Genomic DNA, 22,585 nt, shown 5'->3' on the forward strand with positions numbered 1-22,585 from the left:
TAATTGATCTTTGTGTCTTCTCAGGAGAGAAAAGTGTGGAGTTGAGTGATACTAGATCTGTAATAGGGCCTGGCTGGAATCTGTCTTAACTGCGCTTTTATCCCAGACTGGTTCATCATTACATTAGGGACAAAAAGGTTGGCAGTTGCTGGTGTTTTGGTTGAATAAATAATGATGTGCACACATGGAACAATTTTTTTTTCCCCCAAGACAGAGTCTTGCTCTGTCGCCCATGCTGGAGTGCAGTGGTGTGATCTCAGCTAACTGCAACCTCTGCCTCCTGGGTTCAAGCAATTCTCCTGCCTCAGCCTCCCGAGTAGCTGGGATTACAAGCGTCCACCACCACACCTGGCTAATTTTTGTATTTTTAGTAGAGGCAGGGTTTCACCATGTTGGCCAGGCTTGTCTTGAACTCCTGACCTCAAGTGATCTGCCCGCCTTGGCCTCCAAAGTGCTGGGATTATAGGCGTGAGCCACCAAGCCCAGTCAAACAAATTTTTAAGTGTATGTAAGAACATACAAATTTACTTAAGTGCTTTATAGAATTTATAGTTATCCTATAATCATTTTCTAGCGCCAGAAGAACCACTACTACTGAAGGAAAGATCTTTGGAATTTATTTACCTTAGAAATTACTTCTCGTATGTTAAGAGGTTGATGACTGCTTTAAGGGACCTAAAATATAGAATTAAGCATTACTTTCTAATGTGACATTAGAACTTTTAAGCACCGAGGTTTCTTGATTCTTCTAGGTGTATGTATGGATCTATGACCCAGTTCACTTTAAAACATTTGTCATGGGATTAATTCTTGGTAAGTAGTGAGATGTTAATAGCTATAAAGTGCAATCTAAAATTTAGAAAACAATATGCAGATACTGTAAAAGAAAATGTTCCTAAATTTAACATAAAATAGTTGTCATTTTAAAAATACTTTAAATAAAGTCAGAAGATAAATAATACACTAAGGAAAATATTTGAAACATATTAAAGATCTTTTAAGAGATTAACAAACTGATAGAAAAATGGTCAAGGTAGTTAACAGATAAAGAAATACAATGACCAATCATCATGAGTGATACTTAATCACACTCATATACAAATTAAAGCTGTAGTGATTAAGAGTCTTGCAAACCTTAACATTAAAGGTCTTAGAAAAAAATCAGCTCTCTCTAACAGTTGATAGGTATGTCTATTGTTTTAATTTTTGTAAAGGGCAGTTTGTCAGTATCTTTGAAATTTTATGTGTCTGCAGTGACCCAGCAATTCTAGGCTGTTCCCATACAGTTGCACAAAGTGTGTGCATTGACACATTATCTGTTTTTTTCCAAATCCCTTAGACTATACTTGAGTATAATCTAGCAAATATCTTTCAAATTCAAAATGCTTATACCATTTGATCTAATAAATTCCACTTTAAGGAATTTACCCTATGCCATAATCACAGTTGCACAAACGTACATGTGCAAGGATATTATACCTAGAATAGATAAAAAAAGAAAAGAAAGTTACAGACGAGTAAGAATAGTATAAGCTCATTTACTTATTTAGAAAAAAAGTCCCTGTAGCTAGTTAATTATATATAGGCAGTCTCTGAGAATACAGGTAAGCTTAATAGTACTTAACCTCTGGGAAGTGGAATAAGAATTAGATGAAGACTTAATTTTCTCTATACCTTTTGATTTGCTTGTTTGTGACAGGGTCTCATTCCTGTCACCCAGGCTGGAATGCAATGGCACAATCATGGCTCACTGCAGCCCGACTTGCTGGGGTCAGGTGATCTCCCACATCAGCCTACTGAGTAGCTGGAACTATAGGCACACTCCACTACACCCCGCTAATTTTTGTATTTTTTTGTAGAGATGGGGTTTCGCCATGTTGCCCAGGCTGGTCTCAAACTCCTGGGCACTTGCCTCGTTGTCCCAAAGTGCTGGGGGTTTGATTTGTTTTTGATTTGCTTTTTAACGTGTGTATTCCAGGAGGTTTTATGGGGAAAGAATGATTTAACAAACAGAAAAAAAAAAAATAGGTAGCAGTTAAAATAAGCTTGGTCAATATGGTATGATAGGATCCCATTCAAAATAACTCTTTAAGGCTGGGCTCAGTGGCTCACACTTGTAATCCTAACACTTTAGGAGGCCAAGGCAGGGAGATGGCTTGAATCCAAGGGTTCGAAACCAGCCTAGGCAACATGGCGAAACCTCGTTTCTACAAAAAATTAGCCGGGTGTGGTGGTTCACACCTGTAGTCCCAACTACTTAGAAGGCTGAGGTGGGAGGATCACCTAAGCTCAGGAGGTCGAGGCTGTCGTGAGCCAAGATCATGCCACTGTACTGCAGCCTGGGTGACAGAGTAAGACTCTGTTTCAGAAAACAAAAAGCAAAATAACTCTTTTATAATAAGAGTACTAGTCACTTTGCTAGATATTTTGCGTACAATATATCATTTCATCCTCACAACAACCTTTGAAGAATAGGAAGAGACTTATTAAATATAAGGTAACTTAGCCTCAAAAGAGTTAAGTAACTTGCCCAGGGTTACATAGCTTATAAGTGATGGAGCTAGAATTTTAATCCTGGTCTTATTCTAAAGACCTAATAACCAGGCTTCTAATTTCTTATAATTCTTTCTTGTGTCCCCACTTTACTTGCAAAAAAACTGGAGACACTTGTAAACAGTTTCCCTAAGCACCAAAAAATACATCTGTAGCAGAAATCACCTGGGGAATCTTTCAGTCTGTGGATGTCAGAGCTCCACCCCAGAAGAAGAATCTCCAGAGAGGGGTCTTGGAAATCATTTTTTGTTGGCTTTGTTGTTCTGTTGTTTCTTTTAGCTCCCTTACTTAGTAGGCAAATATCTTAGTATTTTTTAAATAAAGTAGATATAGCTTGAAAAAGGGGGCAGTTGATAAATTAAGGAGGCAACAGTTTTGAATTTCTACATAGCATTTTTTTCTAATTATATGTAATTTACACTAATAAAAACTAGTTTAAGAATAGTATAAAATGTTAGGTTGAACAATATGAAATTGCTCATAATTGACCATTTTTTACCTATAAAAATGGCAATTTTATATTTCACTGTGTTTATGTTTCTCAGTTTTTCCCCCAGGGATATGTTTCTGTTAGTGCAGCCATACCATTTAAGTTTTTATTCTAAAATTTAACTTTTGTCATTTCTTGTTCCAGTGATTGCAGTAATAGCGGCCACCCTCTTCCCCCTTTGGCCAGCAGAAATGAGAGTAGGTGTTTATTACCTCAGTGTGGGTGCAGGCTGTTTTGTAGCCAGTATTCTTCTCCTTGCTGTTGGTAAGTATTGTTATTATAAAATTGACCTCAAGAAGGTTGGTATTGAGCAGTTGGACTGTAATTTGGAGCTTCAGTAAAGCTTAAGAAAAATTAATGGAGGTAAATCAAGAAATATATGGTACTACTTTCTGAGTCAAATCTCAAAACTCAGGCTTGGTAAGATGTGTTCTGTCTGCAGAAAAAGGATTTAATACATCTTTAAAAAAATTTTTTAATAAGATTATTTTTTATTGACAGATCATAATTGTATACATTTATGGGGTACAATGTGATGTTTTGGTGTATGTGTACAATGTGGAATGTTTAAATCAAGCTAATTAACATAATTAGCATATTGATCACCTTTCTTGCCTATCATTTATTGTGAGACATTTGAAATTTACTTATTTTGAAATATACCATACATTATTATATCTTAATCTGCAAATAGATGTGCTTTAAAAATTAGTTATGGCAGAGGCGTTTAATATTTTTGCAGTGGTAGATCATTTATTAGACATAATACTTTCAGTAAAACATTTTTTAATTTTGACTTAGAACAAATGCAACATCTAAATAATCTATGCATATATTTAATAAATGATTCTAAACAATTGATTTGCCATTTTGGGAAAAATCAATAATTTTCACCCAAGTACCAAAATACTAGATGCAATAAGGAGTTAATGTTTTAAAAATCAAATAGGAAAACATAAGTAAATGAATTTTCCGCATTTCTGGATGATTGGGGTCTTTCATAGATTATTTGTTTAGAGGCAGGGTCTTGCTCTGTCACCCAAGCTGAAGTGCAGTGGTGAGATCATAGCTCACTGCAGCCTTGAATTCCTGGGCTTAAGCAATCCTCCTGCCTCAGCCTCCCAAGTAGCTAGGAGTACTGGTGCATTTCATCATGCCTGGCTTTTTGTGGGGGAGATAGGGTATCACTCTGCCCAGGCTAGTCTCGAACTCCTGACCTCAGGTGATCTGCCCTCCTTGGCCTCCCAAAGTGTTGGGATTACAGGCGTGAACCACCACGCCCAGCCTCCTTCCTCTGATTTGGTAACCTCTGGCAGCAGAAAAATCCCCTGCTGGTTTTGCATGGAACACGGGCACATTTGTAGGCCAAGAAACAATATCTAAGCCTGTTTGAATTTAGTGTCAGTGTAATACCTGCATCAAGAAGGAAAAGTCATAAACTTTGATCTGACATTAGACATAATAAAATTGGTGCTTTTTGCCTTTCAAATTCCTGAAATTTAGAAACTCCTTGGAAATTTTTAGCAAAGGTTTAGCTCCACTGAATAGAATTATTCTACTTGCTTATTTTTAAATTAAACCAGTGTTCACAATAGTTTATGGTTATTATGTAGTTTTGCTGTTTAAAATATTGTTTCTTCAGTAGTCTCTTTAAATAAATTTTCATTGTAAATATGCTGTGGATTTAAATATGCATTATGAACCAAATAGTCTTCTGAATTATACCAGGAAACAAACCCAACATTTTATTTTGATTCTCTTAGAAAATGCAATTCCAAATATACTTTCAAATAATTAGATATTTCTTTTATATTATTCTTTGAAGTCTTTATATATATTATGTATATCGCATATAATATATATCATGTATATTATATATGAATATATATGATATATAGATATATGATATATCATAATATTATATATCATATATATCATATAATATATATCATATGATATGTCATATATATTATATGATATCTCATATTTATATGAAATATATTTTTATATATATTCATTTTTTGGAGACAGGGTCTTGCTCTGTTGCCCAGGGTAAAGTACCATGGCAGAATCATAGCTCACTGTACCCTCAAACTCCTGGGCTCAAGCAGCCCTCCCACCTTAGCCTCCTGAATAGCTGGGACTATAGGAGCATGTTGCCATGCCTAGCTAATTTTTTTTTTTAAAGTCAGGGTCTTGAAATATTATGTATTGGTCACAATTATATCTGGTGTTTCTTTGAATATGCATTATTAATAATGCCATTTAAAATAAAACCTTTGGCAGTTTTCTAAAATCTGTCGCTTTTAGCATAGGAATGTTATTATAGTACATGTCACAGCTTCCCCATAATTCTTCCCTTTTCACTCTCGGTAATCTAGTGCCACATAGCGAAAAACTGTAAAACATGAACATTTTGCCATACCATTTGTATGTGATAAGAAATTAGGTTAGTGCCATTTCTATATTGCTTTTTCTTTGGTTTGATACAAGATTTCATATTATGAATCATCTGTCTTACAATCCTGTAAAACCTATCATTGCATCATAATTGGAGAAAAAAATGTACAGCCTCCTTAAATTCATTATCTCTGTTTATCAGTGGAATTTATTCTTAAATCATAATTTTAAGCATATTTACCTTTTCCGTTTATACCACGAAAGATTCTAATGTGTACAGGAGTCTTTCAGAATATTTATATTCTTGTGAAAATAAAAATTGCTATTTTTAAAAGTCAAGACAGCTATAACGATTTTCTTCCATTTATACAAAGCAAAATAATGGAAGACACATAGATTAGCTTATTTCAGGCTTTATATGAAAACAGTGACAGAATTGTCTAAAGAAAACAAAAACCAAAACTCCTGTCATAATTGATTAGTCTGTAACATTCACATAATCATCATGACCTTTTAAAAAACAGGAAAAAATCACTCAGCTCTACATAATTGGTAAATTCAGAGAAAACTAAATATTGGGGTTTGTGATAACTCATTACTACAAATTTTAAAATTCAAATTCCATTTTTCTACAGTTTTTTCATAATACAGTGTTATAAAAGAGTAAACCTTATGTATTTAAGTGATCTTGCTTTCATTAACATTGTATTTTTCCTAATATTGAGAGGATTGGTCTTTAAGCAAAAATTACATAGTTTACCTAACTAATAAAACAAAAAGGTCAGGTTCAGTGACTCACAACTGCGATCCCAACTACTCGGGAGGCTGAGGTGAGAGGATCACATAAAGCCAGGAGTTTAAGACTGGCCTGGACAACATAGCAAGAACCTGTCTATCAAAGTAGGTAGATAGGTAGAGAGAGAGGGAGGATAGATAGAGAGAGAGAGATTAGATAAATAAATGATAGATATAGACCTGTAATCCCTGCACTTTGGGAGTTTGAGCCCAGGAGTTCAAGACCAGACTGGGCAACTTGGCAAGACCCCATCTCTACAAAAAATACAAAAATTAGCGGAGCATGGTGGCACGTACCTGCTACTTGGAGGCTGAGGTGGGAGGATTGCTTGAGCCCAGGAGGTTGAGGCTGCAGCGAGTCATGATTGTGCCACTGCACTCCAGCCTGGGTGACAGAGCAAGACCTTGTCCTCAATAAATAAATAAGAAAACAAGGATTAAAAGATGGAAACTTTCTAATACTGGGGTTCCTTATCCAGGGCTAATTTATCCTTTAGGCATAGTAAACGTGTGCCTTGGACCAAGATACATATAGGGGTCCACAGAAATATTTTCATTTTTATTTCTTTTAAATCAGAAGTAGTAATGTATATACATGTATGTAATAGCAAACCTATACAGTATTTTATTCGTGTTTATACAGATGTACAGAAAATATAGTCATAAATGTATAGAAAATATAATATTTAATAGTTTTTGTGGAGTAAGTGCCTTACAAAGGCAAAAGGGCCTAGGGCCTTGGGAAGTATGATGCAGCCCTGCTTTTCCTTCTTAAAGGCTTCCTTCCTAAACACCTTTCATCTCTTTATTTTATTCTTTTCCTACACCATGATCTTATGAATACTTAAATTCCCAACTGATTGCTATGTGTATTGAAGCATAATATCACAAAGTACATAAATCAGAAGTGTATATCCATGTAAGTGTACACCCAGATGGAAAAAAGAAGTAATTTTTTTCAGTGACATTATTGCATTGTGACCTCAAGTTCAGAGCAACATTCTGTGCCCCTAGAATACCGTGATAGCTGCTAAACTAGTCAGGAATTTTTTGTTTTCAGGCATGCAGTGGTGTAATTATAGCTCACTGCAGCCTCGAGCTCCTGGGCTCAAGTGATCCTCCCAAGTAGCTTGGATTAGAGGTTTAGCCACCACGCCCAGCACTAATCAGGATTTAAATATTAATATTTAAGGTGTATGAAATGTGCAGATAATAAAACTGTTTTCCCAGCTTTTTATTAACAAATACTCCCTTCTGAGGCAGTGTTTGAATTACTCAATTAGAGAAATTTTTCTCCCCACAGCTCGATGCATTCTATTTCTCATCATTTGGCTCATAACTGGAGGAAGGCACCACTTTTGGTTCTTGCCAAATCTGACTGCTGATGTGGGCTTCATTGACTCCTTCAGGCCTCTGTACACACATGAATACAAAGGACCAAAAGCAGACTTAAAGAAAGATGAGAAGTCTGAAACCAAAAAGCAACAGAAGTCCGACAGTGAGGAAAAGTCAGACAGTGAGAAAAAGGAAGATGAGGAGGGGAAAGTAGGACCAGGAAATCATGGAACAGAAGGCTCGGGGGGAGAACGGCATTCAGACACGGACAGTGACAGGAGGGAAGATGATCGATCCCAGCACAGTAGTGGAAATGGAAATGATTTTGAAATGATAACAAAAGAGGAACTGGAACAGCAAACAGATGGGGATTGTGAAGAGGATGAGGAAGAGGAAAATGATGGAGAAACACCTAAATCTTCACATGAAAAATCATAATCTGACTAATTTTGGGACTGAATGAATAAGTACAAGAGGTTGGATTTTCTATGTTGGCTGATTACCATATTGAACACATGGCATTTGTAGCATTCTTTAAATCTATCTACTGAAATGTATTTGACATTCAAGCAGTTATATTCGGTCCTTCATTTTATAGAATATTGGCACTATTATTGGTACAGTTTAAAGCCATTAATATGTTTTATCCATTTGATAATTTTACAGTAAGTAGGTCTCATTCATTTTGACAGTTATCAAAGATGTACTTTCCACAGTTAAATTTACATTAATGGCAATTTTTGATAGTTTTATGGCTTTTTACTGTTAGACTAATCAAAAATAACTTTAAAAGGAACAAAGAAACTCCAACATTTCACATTATGCATAGTTATGTAGCCATTTCACAGTTTCTTTAAGATGTGTAAACTCATTGTCCTTGATAGTTTTTATTTTTCATTATAAAATTATACCAGGAGATTTCTTTTAAGATTCTGAGTTAGCAGAGTTCAAAACTATTTTGTGGAAACAAGCCAACTAGTAACAATGCAGCAACACTTCTGGTTTAGCTAAATTATTTTTCCAATGTAGGAAATCCACACTGATTTGTACGTCTGACTGAGAGAAAGATGGTCGTCTCCAGCAGAGAAAGTGAACAGCATTTGTTGGAAGGTGATGGCTCTCCCTCCTCCCTCCCCATTTCATTGGCGTAACGTAAAGTGTATTCTGTACATAATTTACAAATAAAACATTTTATTTTAATTGTTACTTATTATTTAGATATTTCTCAACACTTAAATTCATAAAATTAAGACCATGTAAGGGTATGTTTTTAGAGAAATGGAAGTTTGAGTAACCCACAGAACATCTGTGATCTTTCTACAGCAGCTTCAGTTTTGTGCCAACATTCCATGTATTTTGAATATGAGCAAAAACTGATCTTAAGAGCAGACTTAAAGTAGCTTTGTACGCCTTAATGTTCATTTTGATTTATTTTAAATCTTTACATTCAGAAATGAGATACTGTATTATCAGACCAGGAGGCATTGCTGTGAAAGATAATTTCCTATTCTAAAATATCAAATTTAAAATAAAGATAATGAAAGAAAACATAAGAGAACTATTGGACTCTAATTGCTTTGAACTAGTTTTGCAGTTTGACTTTACGTCTTATACATCTTAGTTACAAGTCTTTGGAAACTCTTGTTTACTTATGAGCATAATCATTCCTTGGAGTTATACTAACTAATAATGAATATTAAATGATTTTTCTTCAGTCACAGTGAGAGCATCTTGCTTTGTGGTTGAAATAGGTAGTGTATGTCAGTCTTTGCTTTAGGCTGTTTCTCATCTAAGTGTTTGAATTAAAGATGTTAAATTTTTCTAATTGTGAAAAATATGTTTTCTGTATCGACACATTTTATTAAACTTGGCTTGATTGCTTCTTTATAGTAGTCCCTGTAAGTGGACATAAATGTGGCTATTTGATGTTAATGCAACTATGTCAAGGCTGCAATCACTTTAATAGTTTCTTTTTAGCAAATAAATGTTCATTGATGAAGTGCCTGGGTATTTTCCCGTCCCATTTGCAGAGCTCTACTACTTCATTTCCACAGTAAGCATATATATAATGATCACTTCTGAGTTTATCACCAGTAACATTGATACCTATTTTGGGGTATAAACATGGTGTTTTTCAGAAATAAAAATTATTTCATTAACCTTTACTATTACTGTGATAATACCCAGGCACTCAATATTCATCCTGAAATTTTTTATAATATATGTAATTTGTCTAGTCTTAAAGACATTTGGAGCATGGCCAACAGGAAGGTCAGCTTCTTACTGATGTGTGTGGATTCTTACAGAATGTTAGTACAAATTTTTATAAATATTTGGTGATCCCTGGGGGGAAATATCATTCTTACTATGGTTAGAAAGTGAATTAGAAATTTCAGCTCAGTTTCTATTTTACTATTCAAGTTGTGTACTTTAAACAAATATAAAAATCAAAAGGCTGCCTCTATTACAATCCTCAGTGGAATAGATGGCTATCTTTCTTGGCTAACATTAAATATTCTTGTACCAGAGCATGGAAAATCGTTTATAATTGTTAATAGAATGGCGATTTTTTTTTAAGAACTTCAGATTTGCTATGCTGCTGTAAGTAGAAAGCATGAAGCTTTTTGATCATGTAGGGCTTATTGTAGAGGGTATCAATTGGCCTAACTAAGCAGGATTGAATTTACCAGAGGCTAAGTTCAGATAGTAAGAATAATGCATATGTGATTGTTCTTAAAGTCAATGTATTAAATAAGGTATTTTTCCTTTTCCCTCTTACTGGATTTTTCAATTTTCAAACCATATGGCCTAGGTAACTTTAATTGAAATAATATAGATTTAGTTGAATACTATTCAGGAAGTAATAAATTTTAATATATCACATTGAAATTATGCAGTGGTGATGAATTTTGGTGTTTCCCCCCTCTTTCTGGTTTTACATCATGAGGATCAGTTAGCTGCTGACAAGAAAAGTCATCTTGTGTCTTTTGTAAATTGAATTTTTTTTTTAAATCTATTAGGAACTGGAAAACAGCAAGTATGGTTGATTCTCATTATTCAAGGTAGTTACGTTCTATAAAGTCACTGCGAACACTGAATTAGCAAATATAGAACCTAGGGGAAATACAAGGCTAGATTTCTGCAAGCCACTGGTCACATTTTCATCAAGCAGTCAACATGTAAATTTCTGTTGTAAAGACACCTTATTTAATATAATCGATTCATTAACATTGAAGTCATGACCAACAACACTGTAACTCATGCCTGAATGAAGCTTATCTGACACATAAGCTTCATAAGGCACACAACAGCCTTTTTACCCTTAGGAACAGCTTTTTGCCCTTAGCACTATGCTTGGGGGCCATTTTAAACAGTGAAATCAAAAAAAGAACAGAAATGCAAAAACCATGGCATTAGCGTAAAAAGGACACGTTTATAGTATGAAAGCTGGAACATGGCCTTGTTCAACCTCAGCTCAGAATATGTGTACAGCAAGTTTTTTGCTGTACCACAAAATTTTAGGTTAGGCAAATTCACAAATACGGAATCCATGAATAACGAGGATCAACTGTACTTAACTATATTTTAAAGCTGTGACATTTATCTACCTGGTTTATGGAATAGAATTTATTGCTGAATCATGCTCCAGTATTTGAGTGATGTTTTAAATATCCTATGTCTGAAAATAATTCCTCCTAATTGTGTGGTAATTTGCTTTTACTGTTTCCACAGTATTTCAGGTCTTTGCTCATTCACTCAGTAATACTGAGCACTTACCATGTACCAGAATTTTACTAGGCACAACCATGAATAAAAATACAATTCTCTTGCACCATTAAATAGTGTGTTAAGTGCTACGGCAGCAAATTGCTACATGTGCTGGATATCTCTTGTTTTCCCCTCCAGCTCCACTCTGCTCTTGCCCACAAAGCTGACCCGAATGGACCACAGCAGTGGGCTCCTATGCCTCCTGGCTTCTGAGTGGGTTTGGCCAAGGAGTGTCCTGGCCAGAGATCAGAGGATGGTAGGGTGCCTATTCTCGGCTCTTCTCCTGGGGTTGGGGGGCTGCCTTAGCAGCCAAAGGTCACTTCTCCCAAACTCCTTCCCTGCTTTCCAGGTTGCCAGTCCCTGCACTCTTCCTTTCTGGCCAAGGATGATGTCAGTTCTGCTGCTACTAGCCTGGAGTTGCAGAAGCTACTGTGCTTCCTCTTTGGGTAGCCTATACCTATACTTATCTCCTCATAATATCTTCATGTAAAGAACCATCTGTTTCTTATTGGAATCAAGACCAATACCAAGGAGAAATTCCTAGGGAACAAAAATTCCAATGAGGAATTGACCTCTTTGTCAGATCCTTATCACCAAACATTAGAAAAGATCTCATAACTTTATACAGCATGTTGTAAGCATTTTGATAACTAAAATCCTGTTCTAGTGAATGTCATGCAGATAACTACACAAGGAGATTAATTTAAATTTGCCTTCTTTGGCAAGCCCTTAAACCAATGGCTAAAGCAGTTAGTTGTGAGTTTCTGAGTAGGTCCCAATGCGTTTATTTCATTTGTCCAACCTAGCACAGAGATCCTTTGATACTTTAATTGCATGGCTTTTCCAATCAGACGAAATTTCAGTCTGAGAGAGGACATATTTTCTGAGGTTTATAGTTTTAGGATTGTCCAAAAGGCCTATGATCTCTTCTTAGCATGACAGAAAGAGGGAAAGATAAGTTAAATTTCAAGGGGGTCATATCATCACACTTTGGTCTTATTTCATTTTCAATGATTTCCTAGATCACTTTAACTTTTTTGTGTCATGGACTCCTCAGAATAATGGGTTTTTTTTGTTTGTTTGTTTGTTTGAGATGGAGTCTCACTCTGTCACCCAGGCTGGAGTGCAGTGGCGAAATCTCAGCTCACTGCAACCTCCGCCTCCTGAGGTTCAAGTGATCCTCCTGCCTCAGCCTCCCAAGTAGCTGGGATTACAGGCACATGCCACCACACCCAGCTAATTTTTGTATTTTTTAGTAGAGACAGGGTTTCACCGTGTTGGCGAGACTGATCTTGAACTCCTGACATCAGGTGATCCACCTGCCTCGGCCTCCCAAAGTGCTGGGATTACAGGCATGAGCCACCATGCCTGGCCAGAATAATGTTTTTAAATGCAGAAAAGGAAATGCATGGGGTTACAAGGGAAACGAATTACACTGAAGTGTAAGCTACCAAATAATTTATGATGTGGTAGTTATAGGTGTGCATTTAATAGCCAGATCTACGAGTGGATGTAATAACTGCTATGATGTTGAAGTAGCATAAAACATATATTAGATATCTGCAACAACTGTGATGTAACATGAAAATACCTGATTTCTGTTGACAAAGTTACTGCTAGTACAACTGTGGATTGTTGTCTGCACTCGTCATTGAAGGAAATACTAAATTTTAGTTTTAGGCTAGTGAAATTAAAGTTAATTTTTCCCATCCAAGTTCATGTATCTTCTGAATTCTATCCGTGAATCCCTTAGAGGTCTGTGAATTGTAGGTTAAGAACCCCTGCCCTAGCTAATCAGATCCACCAATGTTTCAAATAGGACTATAACTTATTCAAAGGCCAATGATACTTCGCATAATTCAATTTTAATATTATTCACATTTCATGTCACAAATTTAGTAAGTTACATGTGTTATGTGATGTTTTGTTTTGATAGATTATATCTTACTCCTAAATAAAAAGTCAAGATTTTTGTAGCAACTTCTATTTATTTTATGTATTTATTTATTTTGAGATGGGGGTCTCCTTGCTCTGTCACTCAGGCTGGAGTACAGTGGTACAATCACGGCTCACTGCAGCCTTGACCTCCTGGGCTCAAGTGATCCTCCCACCTCAGCCTCCCAAGTAGCTGGGACTACAATTGCATGCTACCACACCCAGCTAATTTTATAATTTTCATAAAGATGGGGTCTCCCTACGTTGTCCATGTCGGCTTTGAACTCCTGGGCTCAAATGATCCTCTTGCCTTGGCCTCCCAAAGTTGTGGATTACAGATGTGACCTGCCATGTCCAGCCTGAAGCATCTTTTAAATGGGAGAAGCAAAACAGGATCTTACCAACACTAAGATTATCTTTCAGTCATTCAGCAAACATTTGTGGAGTGATTACTATGTGCTAAGCATTGTGCAATCACAAAACTCAAAAAGCTAGTTTAGTAAGAGAGACAAGTATTCATGCAAACAGTGGCAATGGTGTTGTGTAATGTCAAAAGTATCTGTGACGTGCTTATGAGATCACATAAGTGAATACCCAGCCCAGATTAGGAAGGTCAGGAAAGGCATCCCATAGAAGTATCATGAGCTAGATCTTGAAGAATGAGTGGGTATTAGCCAAGTAAAGACTAGGGGAATTTTGGGCCACTGCAGCAAGATGTGCAAAAATAAGACAGCAGAGTGAGCATGGCATCCCCTGAAACTGAAACTAGTTAAGGTGCAGCTGGAAAAGAGAAACGTTTAGAGAGGGATACAGGTGGCAAGTCATTGTTTGACCAGAATCCCTTCCTTTAGAAAATATTCCTTTCCCTTCTGTGGTGCTCCTCATTCCATTCCACGGTGACTGGCCTCAAGGATGAGCACTCAGTTCACACCAGGCCAATTGAAGTCTTCTCATTTACTCAGGGGTCTTGAATTCCAAGGACCATGTGGACCTGAAGAAACCAATGGCTATGCTGCCTTCACATGAATGGAGCCTGTCTAGAAATAGAACCAACATGAAAAAAACAGAACCAAGGGTGGATCAGGAAGACAAGGCCTTAATGCCATCTTTGAACTCCCAGATCTAGCCTGGCCTAAAGCCATCCCTGGGCTTTTCAGTTGCATGAGCCAACAGATTCATCATTTTTTCTCAGTTATTTTGAATGAGATTTCTGTCACTGGGAACTGAAAGATGACTGAGTTGCACACAGTAAGTATGAACAGTGACACTAAAATACCTTTGGAGCAGATTGACTCAAAGCAGGAGAGTGACACATTCAGATTTGCATCTTAGACTACACTAATCACATAGAAAATGGCATGGCAAGGAGCAAGGCTTAGATATTTTCTGGATACTTCCAGTATTTCTCAGATTTACACATTCTAACCACAACTCCCCTCTTGTTGTTAAAAACAATTTATTTTCTTATTACGGAAAAATCAGAAACTTATAAGCAAAAATAACCAGAAAACTCACAAACCTACTGTCTTAGTCCATTTTGTGTAGCTATAACAGAATACCACAGACTGGGTAATTTATAAAGAAAATAAACTGACAGGGCATGGTGGCTCATGCCTGTAATCCCACCACTTTGGGAGGCCAAGGCGGGTGGATCACCTGAGGTCAGGAGTTCGAGACCAGCCTGGCTAACATGGCAAAACCCCGACTCTACTGAAAATATAAAAATTAGCTGGGTGTGGTGGTGTGCACCTGTAGTCCCAGTTACTTGGGAGGCTGTGACAGGCGAATCGCTTGAACCCAGGAGGCAGAGGTTGCAGTGAGCTGAGATCACACCACTGCACTCCAGCCTGGGCAAGAGAGTGAGATTCTGTCTCAAGAAAAAAAAAAAGAAGCTTATTTGACTCATGAGTTTGGAGGCTGAGAAGTCCAAGAGCATGGCACTGGGATCTAGTGAGGGCTTTCATGCTGCATCCCATGGTGGAAGGCAGAAGGGCAAGACAAGATGAAAGCCAGTGAGCAAGAGGGGGCTGAACTGGCTTTTATAACAAGCCCACTCTCATGATAATAACAATGCATCTGTGAAGGCAGAGCCCTTATGGCCTAATCACCTCTTAAAGGTTCCACCTCTTAATATCATCACAATGGCAATTAAATTTCAGCATGAGTTTTGAGGGGGACATTGAAACCATAGCACCTACCTTCAGAGACAACTACTGTTAAAACTCATATATATCCTTCTATAGCTCTTATATGTGTAACATGTATGTCTCTGTTCACTGAGGTGAGGAGATAGTAAATAAATGGGATCATACCATGTATACTTTATATTAAGAGTATTCAGAAATTAACGATCTGGAAAAAGAACATGTTGTGTGGAACCAAAGACACCATTTTTTCAGAAGAACAAATTATTGACCAGCTTATGATTTTAAATTGTATTTCTGCTCACCAACTTCAAGCTTCAGATTGTGAAGTTATCCTTAGACTAAGTATATAGTAAATGCATGTTACAAAGTATTTCACATTACAGTGTTTTTAATGATCAACATTCGAGGGGATTAGAAGGAAGAATTTATTATTAACTTGCCATATCCTCAAATACATACACCTTTAACAATTATGGCACTTTGCACTGCAAAGAAAAAAATAAAGGGCAGTAACAAGTAAATTAGTACACAACAAGGCTCTTGAAAACAAGAGCAGTAACTGCAGAAACTGGTCTGTACTTACAGAGTCTGGACAATATCTGACAGACTGCACAGCTATAAAGAGTGGTTGGATACTATATAAAGCAAAGCAAGTTGCATCTCTATCCCATCTTTCTAGTTGCATATACTCCACAGGGTTCAATTACAAAATTGAAACCCTATTCTTAATAACTTTTTTTCTTATTGTCCTTTAATAAAAGAACCATCAGAATTCTCCACTTTTCAATCGCATATGCTGTCTTCTATCTCACCTTCCATCCCACCCCTAATTTAGTCTCCTTCCAAAGGACTGATTGCAAATTTCACTACTTAACAAACAACATATGCAGCCGGGCGTGGTGGCTCATACCTGTAATCCCAGCACTTTGGGAGGCCGAGGCAGGTGGATCATGAGGTCAGGAGATCAAGACCATCCTGGCCAACATGGTGAAACCCTGTCTCTACTAAAAATACAAAAATTAGCCGGGTGTAGAGGTGCACACCTGTAGTCCCAGCTAGTCGGGAGGCTGAGGCAGGAGAATTGCTTGAACCTAGGAGGCAGAGGCTGCAGTGAGCCGAGATCACACTACTACACTCGTCTGGGCGACAGAGCGAGACTCCGTCAAAAAAAGAAAACATATGCAAGATTCAGATGTCTCGTGCTTCCCTCTGCCTCCACCCAAAGTTTCTTATTAACAGTATTGGTGGGAGCATGACATGTTTGTTTGAACAGTTCCATCAATGCCAAGCCACGATTATACACGGATAATGTTCCTATAGAAGGGAACCAACTCCTGGAAAATGAGCTCGAATGTTCAGCCCCATTGCCACCTCACATTCTTTATTCCCCACCACACAGATTGAGAGGGATGCGGTGACCAGACAGAGGAATGCCATTGAGACTCCCAGCACAGACCGTAGACTGCTTTTCTCAGGAGGCAATGGCAGTTCTCTGCAATACTCAGAAGGCAAGTCACCTGAAGAATCTTAAAACTGGAGACCTGCTGCACAATCCTTTTCTTTCTTCATTCAGCCAACATTTACTGAGCCTCGACTATATGCTGAACAATAATATAAATGAGGAACCCACAGTCCCGGCTCAGAATCCGGGGAAGGAGCAAGGAAACCAGCGGCTGCCTGCACATGCACACGTTGCCGGAGGAGATCCATCTTCTGCCCTAAAAGCTACAATCTCCGCCATCGGAAAGCTTCCAGCCTGGTAGGGTTATGATAAGGCAAACAAACAAACAAACAGACACAAACAAAGTGCTGCAGGCTTTGAGAAAGAAGTTAGATGGTGAAGGATTGCGGAGGCAAAAAGAGGCGAGCGATCAGAGAGCTCTTACTCCACAAGGGAGGATTTTACAGCAGCCATCACTCCTTAGTCTCTGTTTCCTTTTTATCACCGACACAAATGCTTCTGAGAACTTGGAATACTGCCCACCAGGAGTTTACAAATCCAAGTGAAAACTAACCACTAACTGACGGAGTAGAAAGGAAAGGAACAGGCCGGGCGCGAAAGCTCATGCCCATAATCCCAGCACTTTGGGAGGCAGAGGCGTGCGGATCATCTGCTCTCAGGAGTTTGAGACCAGCCTGGCCAACATGGTGAAACTCCGTCTCTACTAAAAATACAAAAATCAGCCGGGCGTGGTGGTGGGAGCCTGTAATCCCAGCTACTCAGGAGGCTGAGGCAGGAGAATCGCTTGAACCCAGAAGGCAGAGGTTGCAGTGAGCTGAGATCGCGGCCACTGCACTCCATCCTGGGCAAAGGAGCGAGACTCTGTCTCAAAAAAAAAAAAAGGGAAAAAGAAAAAGGAACAAAAGAATAACTCCTTGGGCCTCTGGTATAGAGGCTTCCAGCACAAAGTCACAATATGTGGGACAATATCAAATAAGCATTCCATTTATCACTAAAATATCTTGTGTTTACCATAAAGTGAAACCTGCTTAAAATAAAATCCATCAGGATGCTCATTTTGTTCACCCTACCCCCACTTGCCACATTACAAAGAGGAAGCAACAAGACATTGTTCAATGCTGCTGAGAACAATTTCATTTCCTTCCTGTTCACTATCTTTTTTGATACAACATGTAATTATGGGAATTTTTAAGAATTTTCAACAAATGTCTTCTATAAAACTTAGTCCCTTCTGTAGCAACATACGATCCCCCTGCAAATCAAGGTAGCTAGGAATTGTGCAGTGAAAGAGAGTGGTTTGCTTTAATGTTGTGTGCAACTAACTTCCTGTTGCCTTTTAATGTTCTGCTGCTAGTACAGCATAATTGGATAACTAATAACAAATACACGTGGTGCTGATTTTGTTTCATTAAAACATTTACAGAAGCTCAAAGTTAAGCATCTGAAACACCTGATTGATTTTTGTTTTTCACTACAATCTTTTTATGGCATAACATATGCACAGCTAATGTTTTAAAATAAAATGTAATATACCTAAAGAAAAGTGTACAAATCATAAGTATATGGTTCAATGAATTATCACAAAGTGGACACACCCATGTAACCATTGGACCAAGCGGCAGAACATCAGCTCCTAGAACCCCCACTCCCAGACCCGGGGGAACCCTCTCAGCCACCTGACTCCTCGCCTCCCACAATGTACACTTTTAACACTATGGGTTCGTTTTGCCTGTGTTTGAACTTCATGTAAATGGAATCATATTATGGAGTCTTTTGTGTTGGACTTTTCAATATTGTGAGATCCATAATGTATATAGGAGCAGTTCCTTCATGATCCTTGTACAGATTACTAATGACACCCCAGATGGGAGAATGACCCACAACTGATGATTATGAGGTTTCCCACACAGTGAGACTCCAAGTACAACTCCATTTCTTCAACTCCCCATTCTAACATTGATGAACAGAGCCTCCATTGTCTGCTGAGGACATGCTACTGGTTAGAATAATAATTTCCAGAGAACTCTTCTAACCATTGTAACTCAGTCCCTGCTAAGAATGTTGCTGTTCACTTCACTGTGAATCCGCTAGTGAATGCTGAGCACCTCCTGTGTGAGTCCTCCTGTGAGTGCCACAGGGAAAACAGTCCCAGCCAGGAAGCAGCTCATATAATTCAAGGACATGATCTGATTAAGATGATAAGAGAGGTATGAGTTGCCTTGGGAATTTTAAAGTCAGAGGAAATCACTTCATTTGAGGGATCAGAAACAGGCCTTTGAGGACCAGTGGGATCGACAGGCTAATCTGTGGGCACACCTCAGGCCAAGGTTATATCCTGAGTAAAAACAAACAAGCAAACCAAAAGAGACAATGGGGCATTTTGTGGAAAATATGAAGGGTCCTGAGTGGCTTAATCATAGGGAATATTGGGGGTTGAGTCTAGAAACCCAAGTAAGGATCATATTGTAGGAGACCTTAAATGTCAAGGCGAGGAAGAAATTTACTCTGGTGGCTTTTTTCACTGGTTTCTGCCCTGCTGACCTCCCTTTCCAACAACTAACTTTTGTCCGCCTTGCTTCTCTCTTAGGTGCCTTTCTCTCTCCCTTCGCTCCTTGTTTTTGTTTTAATTATTATTATTATACTTTAAGTTCTAGGGTACACGTGCACAACGTGCAGGTTTGTTACATAGGTATACATGTGCCATGTTGGTTTGCTGCACCCATCAACTCGTCACTTACATTAGGTATTTCTCCTAATGCTATCTCTCCCCCAGCCCCGCCAACCCCTGACAGGCCCCAGTGTGTGATGTTCCCTGCCCTGTGTCCAAGCATTCTCATATCGCTCCTTGTTTTTTTTAATAATTCTTATTTTCCACTTCAATTTAACCCACTGCAAGCTGGTTCCTGTACCCAACTTCTGAAATTACTCCTGCTGAGATCTCTGTACATCTCAGAGTTCTTGGTTGCAAAGAACTGAACCAGCTCTGGCTAGAGGAAGCAGAAATGGGATTTTCTAGGGAAGGGTGCAAATGGCTCCCAAGATTGAAAGGAAGGCTGGAAAAGAAAGCTTAGAAAACAGAAAGGAACCAGGAAATATCCGACAGCCCAGGACCAGCCACCAGAACAAGCTACTTAGGTCTTCATTGCTGTTGCATCCTCTCGCTGCACCTCTGCCTTGACTGGTCTGACTGCCCCAACTCTTTGCATCACTCTTCCAAGAGTCAAAGTCCTCCATGGCAGCATCCACTGGTTGAGCTTGGATCAAGGGGTCTGGCTTCTCATTCAGAAAAAAAGAAGTATTTACCCTCACCTCAGATTCTTTTTTTTTTTTTTTTTTGAGATGGAGTCTTGCTCTGTCACCCAGGCTGGAGTACAGTGGTGCCATCTCGGCTCACTGCAAGCTCTACCTCCCAGGTTCATGCCATTCTCCTGCCTCAGCCTCCCCAGTAGCTGGGACTACAGGTGCCTGCCACCACACCCGGCTAATTTTTTTTGTATTTTTAGTAGAGATGGGGTTTCACCGTGTTAGCCAGGATGGTCTCGATCTCCGGACCTCGTGATCCGCCCGCCTCAGCCTCCCAAAGTCCTGGGATTACAGGCATGAGCCACCGTGCCCGGCTACCTCTCAGATTCTTAGTGAGAGGCAGAGTCCCCCAAATAGTGAAATATTTGAATGAGTACAAACTCACCCAACTGCTGAGCCAAATAACCTCTTTTCAGCCTTTATCCCACTTTATCCCTGCATCGTTCCTCACCATCAGCATCCAAACCTTCACCTCTCACCTTCTTAAAATTATCTCTTCCAAGCTTGGTGTGGTGGATCCCACCTGTAATCCCAACACTTTGAGAGGCTGAAGCAGGAGAATTGCTTGAGCCCAGGACTTCAAGACCAGCCTGGGCAACATAGTGAGACCCCCCCTCTCTCCCAAAAATAATTTTAAAATTAGCCTGGCATGGTGACATACACCTGTAGTCTCAGCTACTTCAGGAGGCTAAGGCAGAGGATAGCTTGAGCTCAGGAGGTCAAGGTTGCAGTGAGCCATGATCCTGCCACTGCACTCCAGTCTGAGTGACAAAGGGAGACCCTGTCTCAGAATAATAATAAAATAAAATTCTTTCTTCCTTCAGCATCCAGGACATGGCTTTTTTCCTGGTTCTTTTTTTTTTTTTACTTCTGGCCACTCCTTCTTCTCTATTTGCTCCTGAAACTTTGAGTCTCCAAAACTCCTTCCTTGGTACATGCTCATTTGAAACACTCCCTTGGGTAATTACATTCATTTCCTTTGCTTCAAATGTGACCCTCAATCTTTTGCTCCAACCTGGACTTTCACTATGAGTCTCAGTCCCATGGGCACCTCAATATTAACATGTCCAAATGGAACTTTAATGGAACTTTAATCTCCATCCCTGCAGGCCTGCTCCCCTTTCTGACCCTAAGTCACAGCTGACCCAGCTAAAAATTCAGTCATCCTGAGTCCCCACGCATGTATATTAGTCACCAAAGTCTCTTCACTCTACCTCAAAATTATCCTTTACTTACTAAAGTATGTTAAAAGTCTCTTGACTCTACCATCTTGCTTCTCAATTAGCTTAGACCTTTATGATCTCAGGAGGAGAGTGGTAGTAGGCGGGGTTGAGATGGGGTGGATGCAGGAATAACTAAGAAGATAAAGGATGCAAAGGTGGATTGTGGAGAGGGAGAGGACAGAATTTAGGGTGATCCCAGGTTTCTGGCCTGAGCAACTAGATGGACCAAAAGAAAACTGTGAGACTTTAGAAGAGCATCTAGTTTGGTAGTTCAGTGTTGAATATGTTATGTTAAAATGGGACAACCAGATGCAAATGTCCAGCAGGCCACTGATATATATAATAATGTGAAGGTGGGAGAAAGAACAGAATTAGAGCCTCCAGTTGTGGAGTCATCAGATCAACCATCAGCTGGTGGATAAAATCATGAAAGTGGTTGATATTAATAAGAAGGCCAAATAGAGAGGGAAGACTCTTGAGTCAAGGTTGGATCGTGGAGACATCATCATTTCAGAGCAGAGATAGAGAAGCACATCAGGAGGCTGGAGGAAAAACTCCGAGAGGTAAAAGCTAAGCAGGGAAAGCAGTGAGACCAGCCAATGGAGAAAGAGTCAAGAATGAAGCTACTAACAGTGGAGTCAAATGCAGCAGGGATTGCATTGGGCTTTGCGATATGGAGGTCAGTTTAGTGCTTGCAAGAGCAGTTTCATCAGAGGCTGGGGAAGAGCCAGACAGCAGCAAGGTCGAGAGTGAATGAACAGGAAGTGGTGAGATGTGAGCGCAATCTTTCAAAATGCCTGGCTGAGAGGGGAAAGAGTAACAATGTAAGTAACTAGAGGGACAGCAGGATTAAAAGAGCCCCTTTTCTCAAGGGTAGGAATGACTTGAACTTGTTCGTGGTGATATTGAAAACCTGAATGCACACAAGAAGGAGAAGCTGGGGAGAGAAACTGAAGACACATGGAAAAAATGGACTGTGTTTGACTGATGGAACTGAGGCCAGAAGAGGTAGACTGAGAAAATCAAGAGTCCTATGTGGGAACTTGCCAGCGTCTGCATTTCAGAGGTCTTCAAGAGCTTCTTCTTTCTCTTTTCTTTCTATTTTAAAAGTTTAATGTTTTTTATTATATTCACGATTCAAAAATAAAAAATTATAAAAGGCGAAACATTTCTT

General features: G+C 38.8%; 1 protein-coding gene across 3 annotated transcripts in view, besides 1 other annotated feature; it reads left to right on the top strand.

The window, feature by feature from the left end:
* SEC62 (SEC62 preprotein translocation factor) overlaps positions 1 to 13,321 on the top strand; it is a 31,567-nt gene extending 18,246 nt beyond the window's left edge. For all 3 annotated transcript variants that reach the window (XM_047448819.1, XM_011513114.4, NM_003262.4), the window contains 3 exons: positions 753 to 813; positions 3,188 to 3,307; positions 7,542 to 13,321. In XM_047448819.1, the coding sequence (XP_047304775.1) occupies positions 753 to 813; positions 3,188 to 3,307; positions 7,542 to 8,011 (651 nt within the window). In that variant the 3' untranslated portion in view covers positions 8,012 to 13,321. The remainder of the gene's footprint in view (positions 1 to 752; positions 814 to 3,187; positions 3,308 to 7,541) is intronic.
* Positions 22,190 to 22,269: an enhancer, noted in NCBI's record as "active region_20792". NCBI's record gives its function as "activates an Ori minimal core promoter by ATAC-STARR-seq in GM12878 lymphoblastoid cells {active_cell/tissue: GM12878}" and the evidence as "EXISTENCE:reporter gene assay evidence [ECO:0000049][PMID:35858748]".

The sequence above is a fragment of the Homo sapiens genome, chromosome 3, assembly GCF_000001405.40.
Source record: "Homo sapiens chromosome 3, GRCh38.p14 Primary Assembly".
Lineage (NCBI taxonomy): Eukaryota > Metazoa > Chordata > Mammalia > Primates > Hominidae > Homo > Homo sapiens.